At 33.0% G+C, this 22,702-nt stretch overlaps 1 long non-coding RNA gene across 1 annotated transcript in view; it reads right to left on the reverse strand.

Moving 5' to 3' along the window:
- Positions 1-1,766: 1,766 nt before the first annotated feature.
- Positions 1,767-22,702, reverse strand: part of LINC00376 (long intergenic non-protein coding RNA 376) — a 144,994-nt gene continuing 124,058 nt past the window's right edge. The window contains exons 6-7 of the long non-coding RNA NR_126409.1: positions 13,156-13,197; positions 1,767-1,994 (exon numbers count right to left, since the gene is read on the reverse strand). This is a non-coding gene — a long non-coding RNA (long intergenic non-protein coding RNA 376). The remainder of the gene's footprint in view (positions 1,995-13,155; positions 13,198-22,702) is intronic.

Raw genomic sequence — 22,702 nt, forward strand, 5'->3', positions numbered from 1 at the left:
GGGTAGGAAGAATCAATATCATGAAAATGGCCATACTGCCCAAGGTAATTTACAGATTCAACGCCATTCCCATGAAGCTACCAATGACTTTCTTCACAGAATTGGGAAAAAACTACTTTAAAGTTCATATGGAACCAAAAAGGAGCCCGCATTGCCAAATCAATCCTAAGCCAATAGAACAAAGCTGGAGGAATCATGCTGACTTCAAACTATACTACAAGACTACACTAACCAAAACAGCACAGTACTGGTACCAAAACAGAGATATAGACCAATGGAACAGAACAGAGCCCTCAGAAATAATGCCACATATCTACAACTATCTGATCTTTGACAAACCTGACAAAAAGAAGAAATGGGGAAGGATTCCCTATTTAAAAAATGGTGCTGGGAAAACTGGCTACCCATATGTAGAAAGCTGAAACTGGATCCCTTCCTTACACCTTATACAAAAATTAATTCAAGATGGATTAAAGACTTACATGTCAGACCTAAAACCATAAAAACCCTAGAAGAAAACCTAGGCAATGCCATTCAGGACATAGGCATGAGCAAGGACTTCATGTCTAAAACACCAAAAGCAATGGCAACAAAAGCCAACATTGACAAATAAGATCTAATTAAACTAAAGAGCTTCTGCACAGCAAAAGAAACTACCATCAGAGTGAACAGGCAACCCACAAAATGGGAGAAAATTTTCGCAACCTACTCATCTGACAAAGGGCTCATATCCAGAATCTACAATGAACTCAAACAAATTTACAAGGAAAAAACCAACAACCCCATGAAAAATGGGCGAAGGATATGAACAGACACTTCTCAAAAGAAGACATTTATGCAGCCAAAAGACACATGAAAAAATGCTCATCATCACTGGCCATCAGAGAAATGCAAGTCAAAACCACAATGAGATACCATCTCAGACCAGTTAGAATGGCGATCATTAAAAAGTCAGGAAACAACAGGTGCTGGAGAGGATGTGGAGAAATAGGAACACTTTTACACTGTTGGTTGGACTGTAAACTAGTTCAACCATTGTGGAAGTCAGTGTGGCAATTCCTCAGGGATCCAGATCAGTTCTAAGCTTATGGTTTAAACTGGGAGGAAGGTAATTAAATCATGGAGGTGGTTTCACCTATGCTGTTCTCATGATAGTGAATTAATTCTCATGAGATATGATAGTTTTGTAAGTGTTTGCAAGTTCTTTCTTTGTTTTCTCTCTCCTGCCACCTTCTGAAGAAGGTGCCTGCTTCCCCTTTTGCCATGATTGTAAGTTTCCTGAGGCCTTCTAGCCATGTGGAACTGTGAGTCAATTAAACCTCTTTTCATTATAAATTACCCAGTCTCATGCAGTTGTTTATAGCATTGTGAAAATGGACTAATACAAACTCCTAACGCAGTGTCTTGCACATAGCAGACACTCAATAAATTTCTGCCAAATAAAAATATAGAATATAAGTTGTAAAGTTTTCCATTAAAATGTCTGTACTCAATCCTTACAAAGCTAAATGCAAAATTCTAGGCCCACAGCAACAATAGGGGCAAACTTTGAAAATCAATGCTAAAACTTGTAACTTACTCTTCTGCTTTAACATTTAAGTTGATTTGCTTTGCAGCCCTCTTTATGAATATCTAATGATGTTTCATATCTATGAGTTAATTGAATTGTGATCTCCAGTAGTAACTAAATGATGGTGATAAGATTAGTTATGCCTTTATTAAAATGGCCTTATACCATAGTCCTTGACCAATAAAATTGAGTTTAATTTATATCCCTAAAAAGGAAAGATATTCTTTTTATTTCCATAAATGTTTTTTAACAAGACACTTCAGTTAAATTCCAAATGTCAGCAAGGAGTAGCAAAGGCTCATAGCTATATACTTTACAAAATAAGGCACTGCCATTGTCTGTAGTTTTGTATATTTTACTGAAGAGCATTAGTACTTTCTTTGATTCTGCCTCAGTCGTCAAGTGGTATAATACTCACGAACAGCTAGAAAATAACAGGGTTTTGGTTAGTAAATAAAGAAGGTGAGTCTGCATAGAAGAAAGACCTAATACAGATTGTGTTTGAGTTGTGCTTGTGCATATTATAGACCTGTTTCAACTCATGTGCCAAAAATGCATGTTATATTTAACTTTCGACCATATAAACACATAGACACACACACTCAATCTCTCTCTCCTTTCCTCAGTGTTTAAAACAATGCCTACCACATTTAAGTACCCCAAAATATTAACTGAATGTATAAATATTTGTTTACATATACAATGATTTGTTTAGAAGCAACTTTATGAAAAATCTTTTCTCATGCATTTTTAAGTGGGACAGAAATCTATGTATTTTTAAGTTATGACACTAAAAAACTCCTGTATGGTACAGAAATCAAATTACTATTTACTTAAATATTTATTTTGATTTATTTCAATAATTAAATTATGTCACCTTCTTCATAGAGTATAATTGCCTTTGTGCCAAACTTTTACAAATTAAAAATAAAAGAAATGCATAAATAAAAATATAACATTAATTTTACTTACATCTGATAAATAATTCTGGTTGCTATTCACAAAATAAACACACGTGGTTTGTTATTAACCTATTTTTTTAACAATCAGTTTTTAAAGTCTGAATTTATTGGTATTAATTTTACTAGGTTTTTTACAAAGGTCATTATCTCTTTTCCAAGCATTATCCTCTCTCTCTCTCTCTCCATATATGTGTGTGTGTGTGTGTGTATATGTCTCTCTATATATGTATATAAATCTGTGCTAATTTTGTCTTTGCTAGCTAAGCAGCATATGTGATATTTAAAAGAAGGAAAGATAATTAAATAAAAGAAGCTCTCACTATTTAGTAATTTACATTTTAATTATTTTTAAAAAAATTAGATCTTGCTCTTTGTTTTGATTATAAATAGATTACCAGGGTGCCTACACTGTACATTTTTAGTCACAGTTCACCAAATAGAAACTCATTATCTCTGCCCATATGATGTTTATGAGGTTAGCAAAATAATACATGGTTTAACAATAGTTCATGATTCTCTTCAAAAGTTGATCTAATATTAAATGTTATCATCTTTAATAAGTATAGTATATCTACAAATCATATATGATATAAACAAATTCCAAACATTAATTTTTGGTATCACATTATGAACTTATTTTTATAGGTATGCTATATTAAAATAAATATAAACAAACCTTTGATTATATTTACTTTGATTATAAATTTACAAAAGATGATATAAGTAATGGAAGTTAGAATTGTGTGGATTAAAAAAGGTTACAAATTCTTTTTTGATTCTTCCATCGTTTGGTAGATTTACTTCCCTTGAATCTGAACTGTCCCTGTGAATAACAGTAATCAATAAAACAAAGTGAAATAATGGTGGGTGATTTCTGAGTCTCAGTGTCAAGAGAACTTTCCAGTTTTAACTCTTGTTCTTTTGGTAATCTGAGACCATTATGCTATTATGAAGCACATAATGAAGACCCACATGGAGAATAAGGCCCAGTCATCCCCGCCCCACCCCCAAGATTCCAAACACATGAGTAAAACCATCTCAGGCATCTAGCTCCAGCCAACCAGCAAGCTGGCCACAGCCATAGGAATGAGCACAGACTAGGTCACCAGAGCATCATGCAGCCAATTCACAAAATGATGGGGAATACTCAATCGTTATCATTTAAGTCACTAGATTTTGAGGCTGTTTGTAAAACAGCAGTAGGCACTATTTATATATGTATGCATGCACGTATATAAACATATATGTATGATTTATATGTATCATATATAATTTTATATTATTTTGGAAGAAACAAAAAGGAAAAAGTGATTGGTTTCATAATCACTATTTTACACACATTTCTTTATTTGGAAAAAAAAGTATTTTTTCCATAATATGGTAATTTGTCCTGTATCTGGCACATAAAGATATATTATCTCTTTTATTAAGAAGTTAAGTCTCTTTAACCATTTTAACAGAGTACAGGATGCTGTTAAAATTCACTGTATAATAAGAATATGAGTAACATAATTTATATGATTATAAATTGAGATTATAAGGTAATGAGAAAAATCTAAAAGGAAGTAATAAAGAGAAAAAAACAACATTTGATAAACTGGAAGTGGAAAATGTTTCTATTATTACTCAATTAATATATTTTAGTTAGAAAATTTAATTCTTAAATTTTTTAAAGAATGTCAAATAGGCTGGACGTGGTGGCTCATGCCTGTAATCCCAGCGATTTGAGAGGCCAATAACGAAGGATTGCATAAAGTTAGGAGTTCCAGACCAGGCTGGGCAACATAGCAAGACCCTATCTCTACAATTTTTTTAAAAAACAACTGGGCATGGTGGTGTGCACCTGTAATCCTCACTACATGAGAGGCTGTGGTGGGAGGATTCCTTGATCCCTGGAGTAGAAGGCTGCAGTGAACTATGATCAAGCCATTGCACTCCAGCCTGGGTGACAAAGCAAGACCCTGTCTCTTGAAAAAAAAAGGAAGAATGTCAAATAATAATTAGGAAAAGATAATAACAGCACAGTTTCTTAATATGAGCATAATCAGTGTACAAGAAGTTTAAAGAATTAAAGTAGAGGGTAAAGAGTCAGTAATGTGAATCAATTTATAATTAAATGTTTCATCTATTTAAAGCTTCTCTGCTTAACTATGTATTCTTTAAAAGTTCTTTTTGAAATGTTTCTTCTTCTCAATATATTTTGCTTAGTTAAGTTTTCTGCTGTCAGGTTTTTTCACTTTATCACACCACTCTATGAACATAAAGATGTCTTTGATGTCAAGAAAAGCAATACTCATGTATTCATGTATGTTGAAACTGGCAGGTGACCCAGTAGTTTTTTAGATTTCTTTGTATTTCTAGGTGTTTAGTAATTATCTTGAAATTCCTTCTAATAAGATTAAGTATTCTCCTTATTGAGTTCTTATACAGAGCATAAAACTGAATCTATTCATAAGTCTAACAAAGGGATAAACCTTTTGACAGACTATATTATTTCTGAAACACACATTCAATTATATATGTTGGAAGATATTGGTTACTTAAAAATTAAACTTTGAAACAAAAATATTTTTATTTGGAGAATGTAATAAATGTTTGCTATAATGTATTTAAATGTATTCACATACTATTTATACAGAACAATATACATTATACTAGTTATAATAACTTTAAATAATTTTTTGAAGATTTTCACATTTTTGGTCACAAGTAATAGCATCCAATAGAGTTTGATTAACTAACACAAGAGAGAAATAATGTTCTGGTTATTTTGGTATTTTTTTCCATAGAAGTCCTAAAGAAGTGTTCTAACAAAAAATGTCAAATTTGGGAGCCAAGTATAGATCTTTAGGAATTTTGTATTTCATTTACTTTCAACAATAATATCAATAGAAATTATGACAACACTATGGCAAATGGAAAAGACGGTGATGAGTCTATCTGAATTCTCTCTTTCCATATCCTTAGGAAATCATATAAATTATCTGTTACTTATATTCTTATTATACAATGAAATGTTAACAGCATCCTGTACTCTGTTAAAATGGTTAAAGAGACTTTAACTTCTTATTCTTACAAAAAATAGAAATATTATCTTTTCAAATCTAAAAAAGTAATTATAAAATATTATTTCTGTGTAAATTATTAGTTGTAGTGAAAAGAAAAAGCAGGATTTTTGAGACAAGAAAATGGACAGAACAAGAAACAAACAAAAATCTGTTACAGGTCACATGATCTGACTTGTAACATGATCATAATATTACCAGAAAGGAGTCGTGATTCAGACCCCAAGAGAGGGTTCTTGGATATCGCAAAAAAAAAAAAAAAAATTCAGGGTGAATCCATAGAGTAAATTGAAAGCAAGTTTATTAAGAAAGCAAAGGAATAAAGAATAGCTACTCCATAGTTAGAGCAGCAGCATGGGCTGCTCCACTGATTATACTTACAGTTATTTCTTGATTATACACTAAAGAAGTGGTGGATTATTCATCAGTTTCCCAGGAAGGTGGTGGGCAATTTCCGGAACTGAGAGTTCCTCCCTTTTTTTTAGACATATAAAGTAACTTCCTGAGGTTGCCATGACATTTGTAAATAGTCATGGTGCTGATGGGAGTGTCTTTTAGCATGCTAATGCATTATAGTTAGTGCATAATGAGCAATGGGGCAACTAGTAGTCACTTTCATCTCCATCTTGGTTTTGGTGAGTTTTGGCTGGCTTCTTTGCTGCAAGCTGCTTTATCAGCAAGGTCTTTGTGACCTCTTTCTTGTGCTGACCTCCTGTCTCATTCTGTTACAAAGAATGCCTCAACTATTGGGAATGCAGTCCAGCAAGTCTCAGCCTTATTTTACCCAGTCCCTATTCAAGATGGAGTTGCTCTGGTTCAAACACCTCTGACAATGATATTACATATAACATCAGGGTAAAATGAAAGACATTAAACAACTTCCAGGCATACAAATAAACGATTGAAATAAAGATCTTTTCTGACTTTTATAAGGTCAATATATTCTAGAAAACAATGCAACAATACTGCAAATTTCTACGTGAGTTAATTTTTCAACCAAGAATACTACACTTCTAAAAACAACAACAAAAAAAGTAATAAAATTATTCCCATGTATTAATTCAATATATATTTAGGTAATTTTCAGAGCATATGATTTAGTAAAACAAAAATATTAACCACAAACAAGAAGGGATTGGAAGTCATGGGATCTGGGAGTCAACAGGCCCAGTAAGAATTAAGGATGATAGCACAGGGAAGTATTTGAATGTCTCGTGTGCACTTATTTTTTTAAAAATCAGCTCAGATAGCAGCAGAAAGAAGGATAGTGTGTTTCGATCTCCGGGGGTGAAAGGCAGAAACGTGAAGCATTTCTGATCAATTTGAGCTTTGAGGAATACATTAGGAAAAATGAACATGAAAAAATTCCCCTAGAGGGTTTTTTAAGAATGTAAAATGGAATGTAGGCCCCATTCTATTTCTGACTATCTTAATCAGCTCTGGCAGCTATAACAAAGTTTCATAAATTAGGTGTCTTACACAAAATAGAAATGCATTTCTCACAGTTCTGGAGGCTAACAGTCTGAGATCACTGTGCTAGCACTGTTAGGTTCTGCCCTGTTCCAGGTTCCCTACTGTTGACTAGGGTCCCTTTTATAGAGGCACTGGTGCCATTTATGAGGGGAGGGCCTTCATTACCAAATTACCTCCTGTAGATCCTACCTTCTAATATCATTACATTTGGAGTTAATATTTCAACATATAAATTTGGGGGTAAACAAAGATTCACCCCTTATCAATGACCCAATAAATCTTAGTGAAGGCCAGATAATTTGTATATTAAACAAATTCTAAGGCTATGCTGATGCTGCTTGTTGGTCTAGAGACCCCACGTTGAAACACCATATTAGATTTTTGGAACAACTGGAAATAAAAGAACTATAACTTTTACACTTATGCAAATAAAAAATAAGCATTAACTATAAATAGTAAAATAATGCATAATAAAGTAATCATAGTAATGAATAATATTTATATAACCCATAGTGATCTTAAAATTCTATTAATTTAATTAAAATTTAGTATTTGGAGTTACGTGGTATAGAAAGTAAGGGAATTGCAATGTAACAGAACTAATTATTAGCAACTAAAAGACAAACTAGCTATATAAACTACTTAGCAAATAAAAAATAAAAATTTGCCAAAATTTTTATCCTGATAATAGGATAATGTTTGGGATTGGGAAAGTGTACAGGTCTATCTTTTGTCATAAAAAGGAAGTTAAATCTTAAATGTTTAGTTCTGTACATTTATTACTATGGTTAAGTTTTTTAAAATATAGTCACTGAAATTTAAATAATATAATAATTTAAAGAAAAACTCTCTAAGCGAGCTAAGGGAGTAGTGTAGACACAACACAAAAGATAGGAATTGGAAGGTATAACTGAAAAATATACTAAAATGTATTATAAATTATAAATAGACCAACAGTATGAAATAAAAAACATGATGGAGGAAAAATGACAATGCCAGTTGATATTTAAGACATTTCAGATGGATAAAATTGACAAAATATGGAAAAGGAAACATTGAAAGATTTCACTGGGAATCTTAAAACACAAGTTTCCTTTGAACCTTCGTCTCACAGAAGTAGCCCCAATCTTAATTTTGTGTGTGTGTGTGTGTGTGTGTGTGTGTGTGTGTGTGTGTGTGTGTGTGACATGGAGTCTCACTCTGCCTCCACGGCTGGAGTGCAGTGGCGTGATCTTGGCTCACTGCAACCTCTCCCTCCCGGGTTCAAGCGATTCTCCTGCCTCAGCCTGCCCAGTAGCTGGGACTACAGGAATGCACCACCGCACCCGGCTAATTTTTTTTGTGTATTTTTAGTAGAGACGGGTTTTTTCCATGTTGGCCAGGCTGGTCTTGAATGCCTAACCTCAGGTGATCCGCCTGCCTCGGCCTCCCAGAGTGCTGGGATAAAGGCATGAACCACCACTCCCGGCCCCAATATTACTTTTAATGGCAAAAACCGCAATTACTTTTGCACCAACCTAACAGAAGAGCGCAATCTTCCCTCACTTGAGTTCCTGCAAGGTTCTTACCAGAGGTAGGTGTCTCTCAGAATTTTACTTGTCCTTTTAAAGATGATGCCCCGCCATGACTCAAGCTTATAATTCAGGGCTGAGAAGAGACCAAGCAAGGATGTACAGTCTCTGCTCAAAGAAGAAAGTCCTAGATACTAACTGAATTGTAAATTGTGCATAACACATACCAGTAGGAATCTAGGAAGAACTTTTGAGAGTGGATCTTATAATCTTAAGGCTGTCTGACTAGACAGAAGAGTGCAGAATAGAAGGCTAGAGAAGCGAGAACTTCTTGACAGGGGAAAATGATCAATGAGTCAGCATTCAATATTCTGGCAAGAAAATCTGAGGCTGAAAGTTATTTATGCTGGAGTGGCTCTTTGATGCTTGGCCATGAGGACAGCATTTAGTAAAAGGAGAAGATGCTAGAACTTTCTTAAAATAGTATTAAGGAAGGGATCAAAGGCTCAGGGAGGTACTAATGTTAGAAAGAATTTATTTTGTACTGAAAGTTACCACTTGGCTCTGTTATCCGATCCTCATTAAGATAATAGAGAAGCCCTACAGGGGCTGTTTTGTAGGAAATGCTAAAATGGAAATTGGCTCTGAAATATCAGTGAGGATAATGGTTTTCAGAATGGCAGACCAGGTGACAGCACTTAACCATAAGAGGCTAAATGGATGTAATTACTGAAATTGTGGAAAAACTGAAGTGGCCATCAGAGTGGCTTGACCCAAAAGAATGTGTAACGATGGCCAATACTTTACAAAATTCATGGGATAAAGATTAATAACCGACAGGATATTACTGACACAATTTTTGAGGCTGGCTATCCGAAGACTGATGTCTGCTCCCGCAGTGGAAAATCACTGCCTCTCTCACGACTGTCTAACATTTATTAATTTACAGACACAGAATGCACACAGAGCATGAGCTTTATCTCACCAAAGCTGGTCTAATTTTTGCCAGTGTGGAATTTTCCAGCTTGCCTGCCGCAAATGCCATCAAAATGACTCAGTTCCCCAAGATCTACTGGATGCCAGGTTGATTACATCAAACCTATCCCTTCCTTGAGGAGCAAGGATAAATTGCTGTCAAATTTCTAATCTTTTGCTGCTCTTTTGTTATAAAGTATTGGTTTATTGGAATCTTAATTATTACTTTATAAATTACTACTAAAAAGCATCTTCCTATGTAAATAATTCCCATTTATATTACTCTTTTCTGAGATTTCTGTTCATGTCTTTTCTTCATTTCTCTACTGTGTTTTCGTGACTATCTCATTTACTTGTATGCATTATTATACATTTTGATAAAATTGTCATTTTTCAGTTATATATTTTGCAAATATCTTTTTCAGTTGATAGTTTCTCTCTTTTTTTTTTCCTTTATGGTGTCCTTTGATAAATGGCTATGTAATTTCAATGTAGACACATGTATCTCTTTTCTTTTGGAGGATAGTATATTTAGGCTTTAAAAAATAAATTATTCTCGGCCGGGAGCATTGGCTCACGCCTGTAATCCCAGCACTTTGGGAGGCCGAGGCGTGCGGATCACCTGAGGTCAGGAGTTCGAGACCAGCCTAGACAACATGGTGCAACCCCGTCTCTACTAAAAATACAAAAATTAGCCGGACATGGTGGCAGGCACCTGTAATCCAAGCTACTGGGGAGGCTGAGGAAGGAGAATCCCTTGAACCCGGGAGGCAGAGTTTGCAGTGAGCCAAAATCATGGCCATTGCACTCCAGCCTGGAGAACAAGAGCAAGACTTGGTCTTAAAAAAAAAAAAAAATTCCATTCTCATCTTTTATTTTACTAATATCATCTCCAGTACTGTTTTATAACACTTTGCAAGCTTTGTTTTCCATACTAAGTATGGACTTTCTTTTGAATGTGGTGTGGTAGAGATGTGGTTCATTTCACCCTAGTGAGCTCAACACTATTTGTTAAACAATGCACACTTCCCAATCTGATTTGTTCTTCTATGTTCAGGTAATGAATTTTTGTATGTTCATGAGACCCTTCCTGTCCTTTCTGAATGGTTTTATTGGTTAATATAATGAGTTCTCTCTCAAATGAACTGTCTTAATTACAATTTTTGTGTGTTTGTTTGTTTGTTTGTTTTTGCTATACCAATTGTACTAGCTTTATAATAGTTCTTGGTCTCAGGTAAAGCAGTTCATTCCAATATCAATATTTCTCTTCAGGAGAGACTTGGAAATCCTTGGCCCTTTGTACTTCTACAAATATGTAGAATCGTCTTATCAATTTGTACAAAAAAATGAAAAATGTGATTGGCATAGCAATAAAACTATGGATATAATTGGGTAAATTAAAATTTTTAATTATTGATTCTTTATTTTAATTTGGCATATTCTTCTATTTAATTTGTTTTGAAATGTCTTTCAATAAGTTATATTTTTGCTTCATCAAAGAACTGTGCATTTTTATGAGATTTAATTATCCAATTTTAAAAACTATAATTTTACCTTTTAAATTTAATTTTTGCAAATTTATTTTTATTCACCATTTATCCCATCACCCTTGATAATTTTTTTCTAAACTTTAATATTTTCTCAGTAGATTGCTTTGGCTTTTACTATGTAGATAGTCACACCATCTTTAAGGAATGACAGATTTGCCCCTTCATTTCCAAAATCTCACATTTAAAATCTTGTTTTATTTTATTTGCTAGGGCTTTCCATGAAAATTGAGTAAATCCATTATCAGTAGGCATTCTAACATTGTCCATAAATATAAACAGATTTTGCTTGTGACATATTATAAATGTTAAAATTTTAAAATATACTTGTTCATTAGGTTAAGGAATTTCTTTTATTTCTAGTTTGCTAAGGACCTTTAAAAAATTGAGTCAGTGGTTTTCTACATGTGTAAAGATGATTTTATATATTATTCCTTTGAACAGTTAGTATGATAAATTATATTTCTATGTTTGCAGATGTTAAAGCTGACACAATTAAAACAGTGCATGACCTGACAGTTATGCTTCTCATTTTAATTTTTAGCTTGTTTTATTGTTTTTATTTTTATTCTTGAAGTGTTCACTCATTTTCTCAACAGAAAATCAATTCTTTAAAAAGTATGTTTTTTTTCCTATGGTAATATGTTCATAATTATGTTGCAGTTGAGCAGAAAGTTTTTTAGAATATTTTGTCAACCATACTGCCAAAATTAGAAGTGTATCTGTATTAGAATTTGTTGAATTATCTTTGGAATTTTAACTTATTACTATCAATCTACTCCCCAAGCAATAACCAGACTATATTTGAAAGATAATTAAAGAAATCTGCTTATTAAAACATGTTTGCCATGTTAAAGGAAAGAAATAAGTGAGAACCTAGTTTTCATAAAAAGAAAACTGAAAGTGACTCTCCTAGAAAGTAAAAAATGCAATATCTAAAAACCCACTGGACATATTTTGAAACTCAGAAGATAGAATTAGTTTACCAGAAGATAGATCAGGAATTATCCAGAATGAAGCATATATAGATTAAGATAAAAGAAAATTTGAAAGAGAGTAATAATGTAAAAAAAATTGAAAGCATCAAAAGCATAGCTGGTCTCAGGAGAAAAACAGGAGTTGGGGCAAATCCAGTCTATCAACATTGAAGATACTTCTTTATTTTCTATAATTAGAAAAACCTAGCAATTCATAGGTTTAGGAATCCAATAAATTCAAATAGAACAAATTTTTAAAAATCTACACCAAAAAGAGAAACTTCACTGCAGAAAAGCAAGAGAAAATCCTACAGTCAAGGATGAGGTGAGGGTGGAGGCGTAGATTACATTTAAATGAACGGTAGTGAGATTGGTAAACCAGAAGGAAATGGAATGTTGCACTATCTTAACTCATATATATATATGAGTATGTATATATATGAGAGTATATATATGAATATGTATATGAGTATATATGAGTATATATATATGAGTATATATGTGATTGTGTATACCATATACAATATGAGAGTGTATGTGATATATATATATATATATATATATACACAATACAATCACATGTGGTTTATATATATGGTAACCTTAAAACTTCATTGGGTTTACAAAGTGTAAAATAGAATATATATAAACTGAATTAAATAAAAATTTATGTTTTGTGATTTAAAAAATTAAATTTCAAATAAAATAATGTATATGCAATACTTAAATTCTTCCAGAGAATACACATATAGAAAAAATTTGCAAAAAAGACATTTTACATCATGGGTTAGTAAACACAAGAATATAAATGTGCCATTTTTCCTGCAATTTATTTATAGTTTCACTTCAGTCTCAGTTAAAATCCCAAAGTTTTGAGTAGAAATTGATAAACTGATGCAAACCATGAAAATGCAGGATGTCAGAGAATACCTCCCCAAATAAACCTATGCATATATGGACACTTCATTTATGGCAGCGATGGTACAGGATATCAATAATCATTTGTTGGTCATTTCAATAAAATTTACTGGCAATATCAGATTTCTATATGGAAACAATGAAATTTGACTCCTACCTTGAACCATAAACACAAGGAAATTCCAGGTGGATTCAATACCTAAATGAAAAGTAAATTTATGAAGCATTTAGAATGTAGAAGAATATGTGTTTACTTAATATTTATGAAATTATATGTTTTTATGCACTCCTCTGTAATATAATACAATAAAAGTTTTAGTAATCTGTTTTTTGCAATGTAATTTCACTTTGTTAAGAAAAATAGATACACATACATAAAAATGACTTACAATTAAAATGTTATTTAGACATGCTTTTTTAAATCTTAATCTTGTTTCCCATGTGTATTTTGTAGATCTACTTTCAGATATTTGAATATTCCTCTCACTACAGATGATAGCAAATAGGTAAACATTTGATTATATTTTTGCTAAGCATTTTTTACACAATTAAATTACTTTTAGTTACATTCCTTATGTAAGAACTGCAATAATTAGGTATTTTCAGTCTAAAGGGTCACCTGATTCTCTGAAGAGTCAGTTCATTCTTAATCTAGATTGTAATTTTTTTCTAAGTACACTTATTTTACTGTGCTTGGAAATTACCATTAAAATTGGATAATTCAGGTCTCACAATAATATAGAAATAAAAATAAGTTCAAATACTTAATAATTTTAATATCAGATCAAAAATAAATAATTTCTGGAATATGAATTTATTTCACATATGAGAAATATTACCCACTATAATTTCTGTAGTGTTCTGCATCTGACTGTCCGGCAGCATGTGTCCACAAAAAGAAAAGGGTCTATCTTTGTTTTTTCTGCTGATGCTAGTAAGTTATATCTTTCGAATCACATGTGTTTTGATTTTGCCTTTTGTTTCCCCATCCCTCAGAATTGTGGAGAAAAGATCTTAAGTGTTGCAAAAATGGTTCCTTTTAAAATGATATAAAGAAAAGCAATCACTAGTGTCCTCTGATGACTACGTAATCCTACTGCCAGATTGCAAAGGGAAGACAAATTTTACTGCAGACAATCCAAGTTATGAAGATATATTTCCTCCAGATTACATAATTTTTAAAAATAAGAGACCTACTGGGAAAGGTAAGTAAGCATGTGGGATAAGAAGGACTTGCATTATATAAAGGCACTACTTAAATGGTAAATTATCCATCTGGGAATGTACAATAAAATACTTCCTTCCCTAGCCATAAAGACTTAAAAGATATGTAAGATTCTGAACAACTTTAAAATGAAATGGAATTCGGACAACATATCATAATGGATCTTGTAACAATAAATCTAAAAGGTTTTTATTACAATAAACCCCCTTGAAGAAAAATTTTCCCCCTGAATATGACACATAAAAAGAGTAGACTTCACACAATTGTGTGTTAGAAAATAAAAAAGTGAACTTCTCTAGACTAGAAGAGTAAAAAGCAATTGCGATATTTTAGTACTTCCAAAGAAAATTGCTGGCTGAAATAGACTTTGTACATTGACTCTGCCTGTATACACTGCAATTTCACCAGGTGTTGGATAGATAACTTTAATATGACTTGCCCCACATCCAGTCACTCACAGTCAGTTCAAGGAGAAAGTGTTTGGAATATTCCCAAGTGCTTATCTCTTATATTGTTCAATGTTTCATGGTATAGTTAATACTATAAAACAATAGACTAGATTTTGGGCTGAGACGATGGGATTTTCTAGATATATAATCATGTCATCTGCAAACAGGGACAATTTGACTTCCTCTTTTCCTAATTGTCTCCTTAAGCTGATAAGCAACTTCAGCAAAGTTTCAGGATATAAAATCAATGTGCAAAAATCACAGGCATTCTTATACACCAATAACAGACAAACAGAGAGACAAATCATGAGTGAACTCCCATTCACAATTGCTTCAAAGAGAATAAAATACCTAGGAATCCAACTTACAAGGGATGTGAAGGACCTCTTCAAGGAGAACTACAAACCACTGCTCAATGAAATAAAAGAGGATACAAACAAATGGAAGAACATTCCCTGCTCATGGGTAGGAAGAATCAATATGGTGAAAATGGCCATATTGCCCAAGGTAATTTATAGATTCAATGCCATCCCCATCAAGCTACCAATGACTTTCTTCACAGAATTGGAAAAAACTACTTTGAAGTTCATATGGAACCAAAAAAGAGCCTGCATTGCCAAGTCAATCCTAAGCCAAAAGAACAAAGCTGGAGGCATCACGCTACCTGACTTCAAACTATACTACAAGGCTACAGTAACCAAAACAGCATGGTACTGGTACCAAAACAGAGATATAGACCAATGGAACAGAACAGAGCCCTCAGAAATAATGCCACATATCTACAACTATCTGATCTTTGACAAACCTGACAAAAAGAAGAAATGGGGAAAGGATTCCCTATTTAATAAATGGTGCTGGGAAAACTGGCTACCCATATGTAGAAAGCTGAAACTGGATCCCTTCCTTACAACTTATACAAAAATTAATTCAAGATGGATTAAAGACTTACATGTCAGACCTAAAACCATAAAAACCCTAGAAGAAAACCTAGGCAATACCATTCAGGGCATAGGCATGGGCATGGACTTCATGTCTAAAACACCAAAAGCAATGGCAACAAAAGCCAAAACTGACAAATGGGATCTAATTAAACTAAAGAGCTTCTGCACAGCAAAAGAAATTACCATCAGAGTGAACAGGCAACCTGCAGAATGGGAGAAAATTTTTGCAACCTACTCATCTGACAAAGGGCTCATATCCAGAATCTACAATGAACTCAAACACATTTACAAGAAAAAGGCAAACAACCCCATCAAAAAGTGGGTGAAGGATATGAACAGACACTTCTCAAAAGAAGACATTTATGCAGCCAAAAAACACATGAAAAAATGCTCATCATCACTGGCCATCAGAGAAATGCAAATCAAAACCACAATGAGATACCATCTCACACCAGTTAGAATGGCGATCATTAAAAAGTCAGGAAACAACAGGTGCTGGAGAGGATGTGGAGAAATAGGAACACTTTTACATTGTTGGTTGGACTGTAAACTAGTTCAGTCATTGTGGAAGTCAGTGTGGCAATTCCTCAGGGATCTAGAACTAGAAATACTATTTGACCCAGCCATCCCATTACTGGGTATATACCCAAAGGATTATAAATCATGCTGCTATAAAGACACATGCACATGTATGTTTATTGCGGCACTATTCACAATAGCAAAGACTTGGAACCAACCCAAATGTCCATCAATGATAGACTGGATTAAGAAAATGTGGCACATATACACCATGGAATACTATGCAGCCATAAAAAATGACGAGTTCATGTCCTTTGTAGGCACATGGATGAAACTGGAAACCATCATTCTCAGCAAACTATCGCAAGGACAAAAAACCAAACACCGCATGTTCTCACTCATAGGTGGGAATTGAACAATGAGAACACATGGACACAGGAAGGGGAACATCACACACCGGGGCCTGTTGTGGGGTCGGGGGGAAGGGGGAGGGATAGCATTAGGAGATACACCTAATGCTAAATGACAAGTTAATGGGTGCAGCACACCAACATGGCACATGTATACATATGTAACAAACCTGCATGTTGTGCACATGTACCCTAAAACTTAAAGTATGATAATAAAAATATATATATTATGATTTTCTACAAACTTCATTGTAACTGGCAATCTTCATGATATAGCACTGCAGGATGCACTATTCCCTCCTCTTTTCACAGGAAACGCTCCAAAAGCATGATGAGGTACTACAGCAGGTGGCTCTGTGCCAACTCAGCAGAAGTGCTGCTTGAGACTCTCCAATAGTGAATTCTAATTGGGTGGATTATTTGTTCTGCATATTTGGTTTCCCTGAGACCATGATGGGAGAACTGTTGAGCAATTTTTAAAAGTGGAATTGGCTGCTGCTGCTACAGAGCCTTTTTGAGTTTCTTACATGCCAGGAAAGTCGCACAAAAAGCATGAATGTTTAATAGACTCAGTTAAAGTCTTGAAGTTAGAGGAAGAGCCCATGTTTTCTATTTGATAAGCCATTATTATCACATAAGGGGAGTAGAATCACAGTCAGCAATAATTTTAATCTCAAAAATACTTAATTCTTCTCTCAGTGCCAGGAATATAAGTATTTTCTCATAAGCTATGCACTCAAAATTTGAATTCTCAGCAGCATTCCCTTTTATTTTGGAGTGCACATACCTCTAGAATAGTTTTCACATTAGGAATGCAAATTTCTGGCAATACTCCTACTTAAATTATTTAATTTCAAAATTTAGTCTACTATGGAATTCTGCTAGTAGAAATCACAGTGCATATGACATGCAGGGTTATCTTTAATCAACAGATAGTAGAATTTCATAAGTTCTTTAGAATTTCAATATTAAACCATGTTACCTCTGTACTAACTTTTTAAAATGTTATCACTCATCTTTATATTAGAGATTGAAAAGCTATGGTGCAGAGATAATATGAAATTTTTTCAAAGTTACAAACATTAAAAAATACGTTCAGTATTGAAATATAGAGGGTCTGGTGCCAGAATCCATGCATTTAATCATTATGTTACAGTGCTTCACCACTGTGGCTCTTAGTTTTGTGTTTTTATTAATATTAATGTAGTTGATGATTAAGTTACCTATGACACAACTATTCTTATATGTTAGATGGAAGCATATTAGTAAAAGCATCGTGGAAGATAGTTGCTATTAAAATAAAATCTGATGTCAAAGAAAAAGGTCACCTGTTAAAATGATGTTTATCAGGGATGTTCCTGTTTGAGTGGGTCTCTTTTTATTTGAACATACTAAAAGAATAGATTGTATAATTAAAATAGCCTGAGCCTAAGTTAAAATCATAAACACATTGATTTTCTATTAAATCAAAGAAAATTGAAGAAAATGGTAAAGTAAAACAAAATGTAAAGATATTAAGTAAATTGAAAATAAAGATTTAAATATTTATATAAAACAAAATTATTATTTTTTTCTTCGTCAGGTGATTGCATCACAATAAAATGTAATTTTTTTAACTTTCTCATGAAGAAATGCTATTTTTTCCAGCTTTCAATTCATGAAAAACCTTATTGGGAGGAGGAAAATGTATAAAATATTTGAACAGATACCTCATCAAAGATGATATATGGATGGCAAATAAACATATGAAAAGATACTCTCTATCACATGCCATTAGGGAACTGCACATTAAAAGAACCAAAAGACAACATGACAAACCTATTAGAATTGCTAAAATGCTGGTGAGGATATGAAGCAACAGAAATTCTTATTTATTGCTGGTGGAAATGCAAATATACAGCTACTTTGCAAAGTAATTTGGCAGTTTCTTACAAAACTAAGCATACATTTACCATATTATGCAGCATTCATGCTCTTTTGTATTTGTCTAAATAAGTTGAAAATTTATGCTCACACAAAAACCTGCAGATGAAATTTTATAGCAGATTTATACAACTGTCAAAACATGGAAGCAAACAAGATATCCTTCAATAGGTAAATAGATAAACAAACGGTGGTAGATTCAGGAAACTAAATCTTAGTTCCAAAAAAAAGTCTATCGAGCCATGAAAAGATAAGGAATAAATTTAAATGCATATTGCATATATATAATATATATATTACATGCACACATATATGAGATATACATATAAATACAAATATATACATATATAAAAATATAAATATATACATATATATACATATATATATATATATATATATATATATAAAACTTTGTCTCCAGTTCCTTGTACAGAAGGCCTAAAATTCTTGCAATTACCTGTGGAAATAGGGTTGCTAAGAGAATCTTTTGTTCTAATATTTGGTCTTTGATCCTGGTTCCTGACACAGAACTTCTAATCACTTGGATTTTCTTGAGTAATAGGAATGTCTTTTGTTCTCATGAGGTGACCTTGGTAGGCCCCTGGATGGGAATTGGTAACCAAAAAGACCAAGTTATGATTAGAAGCTTAAAATGTTTAGCCTCACTTTTCATCCTCCAGGAAGGGAAAGAGTAGCTGGCTATGGAGTTAATCACCTATCATGTCTACACAATGAAGCCTCTGTAAAAATCCCTGAACTACAGGGTTTAGGGACCTCTGCATATGTGCAGAGTACATGTAAGGTGTCATGCCACAGAGGGCATGAAACTTTCATAAAATAAAATATTAAACATAAACTCAACTATATCAATAACAATATTAATATTTAATGTGAATGGATTAAATAATCCAACAAAATGCAGAAAACTTTAGCTAAAAAATTTTAAAAAGCCAAAAACCATGATTTGCCTATGTGTACATATAGAAGGCACACTTTAGTTTCAAGATAGAAACACATTCAATGCAAATAGATGGAAAAAATGTATATTATGTAAACAGCAACTACAAGAAAGCTGGAGTGGTTATATTAACATATAAATAAACTTTTTTTTTTTTTTTTGAGACAGAGTCTCGCTCTTTTGCCAGGCTGGAGTGCAGTGGCACACAATCTCAGCTCACTGCAACCTCCACGTCCCGGGTTCAAATGATTATTTTGCCTCAGTCTCCTGAGTAGCTGGGACTACAGGTGCGTGCCACCACGCCCAGCTAATTTTTGTATTTTTAGTAGAGCAGGGTTTCATCACATTGGCCAGGATGGTCTGGATCTCGTGGCCTCGTGATCTGCCCACTTTGGCCTCCCAGAGTGCTGGGATTACAGGCGTGAGCCACCACGCCCAGTCCAAATTAACTTTAAAACAGACAAAAATATTGTGAGAAATAAATATGAACATTTCCTAATGACCAAAAGGCTAATCCACAAAGAAGATATATCAATTATAGACATGTATACATCTAATAAGAGAACACCAGAATATATAACATAAACTAACACAAATGAAGAAATAGAAAATTCAAAAATAATAGTTGGAGATTTCAATAATCTACTCAATAATGGAAACAACAACAAGACAAAAGATCAACAGATAAATAGGACACTTAAAACGAAAAGCCAACTAAATCTAATAGTACAGAATACTAAGGCTAACAATGACAGAATATACATTCTTCTCAAGCATACATAGATCATTCTCCGGCCCATAAGCTAGATTATAAAACAAACTTCAATATGTTAAAAAACAGTGCTCTGACAACAATGGAATAAAATAAAATAAAATAAAATAAAATAAAATAAAACAAAATAAAATAAATTAAAATAAAATAAAATAAAATAAAACAAAATAAAATAAAACAAAATAAAAACAGTAACAGAAGTAAGTTTTTGGAAACTTACCAATATGTGAAAATTAAGTGAAACACTTTTAAACAATTGGTCAAATAAAAAATCAAAAATAATTTAAAAATATTTTCAGAAGAATGAAAAGGAAGACACACATATCAATACATTTGGGAATCAGCTAAGGTAGCACTTAAAAGGAAATTTGCTCTTATCATAACTACATTATGAAAGAGGAAAAATCTCAAACTATTAATCTAGTCATCTACCTTAAGACACTAGAAAAGAAAAGCAAACTAAACCTAAATTAATGAAATTAAAAATAGAAAAGTTGTAGCAAAAAAATCAATAAAATGAAAGGCTGGTTCATTTAAAAGATCAGCAAAATTGATAAACCGTAACTAGAATAACCAAGAAAAAATTGTAAAGTTAGAAATGAAAGAGGGGATATTACTATTGCCCTTACAGAAATAAAAGGATTATAAAGGAATGATAGAAATAATTTTACTACAACAAATTGGAAAGGTTAAATAGACAGGTTCTGAAAAAAAAAATGCAAGCTACAAGAGACTGAAGAAGAAACAGCTATCTGAATATACCTGTAAAAAATGAAGAGTTAGAATGAATAATCAAAACCTATCCAAATAGGAGCCCTGGCCCAGTGGTTTCACACTAAATTCTACTACACATTTAACAAATAATTAATTCAAATTCCTCACAACGTCTTTCGAAGATACAGAGAAAATGCATGCCAACTTATTTTATTAGCTTAGTATTACCCTGATAAAAAAGATCCCCAAGGAAGAAAATTATAAACCAAATCTCTTATGTATATAGATGCATTCATCCTCAACAAAATCATCAAACCAAATCTGACAACATAAAAAGAAAATGATGCTCCCTGATGAAGTGGAATGTACCTCAGGACTACAAAGATGGATCAAGATGAGGAAATCAATCAGTATGATGCATCATATTAATAGAATAAAATACAAGAATTACATCATCATATCAACAAGTGCAGAAAAACAATTTGACAGCATCTAAATCCCTTTGATGATTAAAAAACACTCACAGAGTAGAATATTAATGAATACACTCAATGTGATGAAGGTCATCTATGAAAAACACACAGCTGATATTGTAACATTGCATTTAGTGGTGAAAGACTGACACTTTTCCTTTTAAGGTCAGACAAAGTGGTCTGCTCTCACTACTGATATTCAACATTGTATTAGGGGTTGTAGCCAGAGTAAAGAGTCAGTAAATATTTATCTAGATTGAAAAAGAGGAAGTAAAACAATTCGTATTTGGAGATAATATGATCTTATGCAGTTGACCCTTCAAAACAACCTAAGTTTGAACTGTGGGGTCCACTTATATCACTTGTATATGAATTTTTTTGCAATAAAAATACACAAAATGTGTCTGCCACTCCTGCCTCCCCTTCCACATCCTCTTCAAACTCTCTTCAACCTCTATCACCCCAAGACAGCAAGAACAACTGCTCCTCTTCATCCTCCTCCTCAGCCTACTCAGCGTAACACAATGATGAGTTACATCCACGTAATGAATAATAATTATATTTTCTCTGTTATGATTTTCTTGATGACATTTCCTTTTTTATAGGTTACTTTATTGCAAAAATACAGTATATAGTATATAAAACATACAGAATATGTGTTAATTGTTTATGTTATCAGAAAGGCTTCCAGTTAACAGTAGGCTATTAGTAGTTTAGTTTTGGGGGAGCTAAAAATTATACATGAATTTTCAACTGCATAGAGCTCAGCACCCCTAACATTGTTCAAGAGTAAACTGTATATAGAAAATCATAAGAAATCCACTAAAGTAAATTAAAATTAATAAATTAAGAAAGTTTTCAGGACACACAATCAATATATGAAATCACATATATGTTTATATATTAGCAATGAACATTCTGGAAATAAAATTAATAAAATAAAATAGCATAAAAAAGAATCTAATACTTGGGAATAAATTTAACTAAGATAATATAAAACATATACCCTGAAAATTAGAAAACATTATGGAAAAGTAAGTAACACCTAAATAAATGGAAATATATCCCATGTTTATGGGTCAGAAGACTTAAAGTTGTTAATCTGACTGCATGATGATCCTTGAGTAGGTTTGGCTGACCCAGTTTCTCTCCTCTCTTCTTAATTGTGGTTCTCAGAATAACCATAGAGTACACAGGGAATGCATCCTGAGATGGGGAGAAACTGCCTGAAATAGCCCGGACTTTGTTCCTGTCACTCCTCAGGAACCTCACATCATGAGTTAGGGAAGACTGCTGGGGACAACCTGGCCTCTGTTTCTG

Source organism: Homo sapiens, chromosome 13 (genome assembly GCF_000001405.40).
Source record: "Homo sapiens chromosome 13, GRCh38.p14 Primary Assembly".
Classification (NCBI taxonomy): domain Eukaryota; kingdom Metazoa; phylum Chordata; class Mammalia; order Primates; family Hominidae; genus Homo; species Homo sapiens.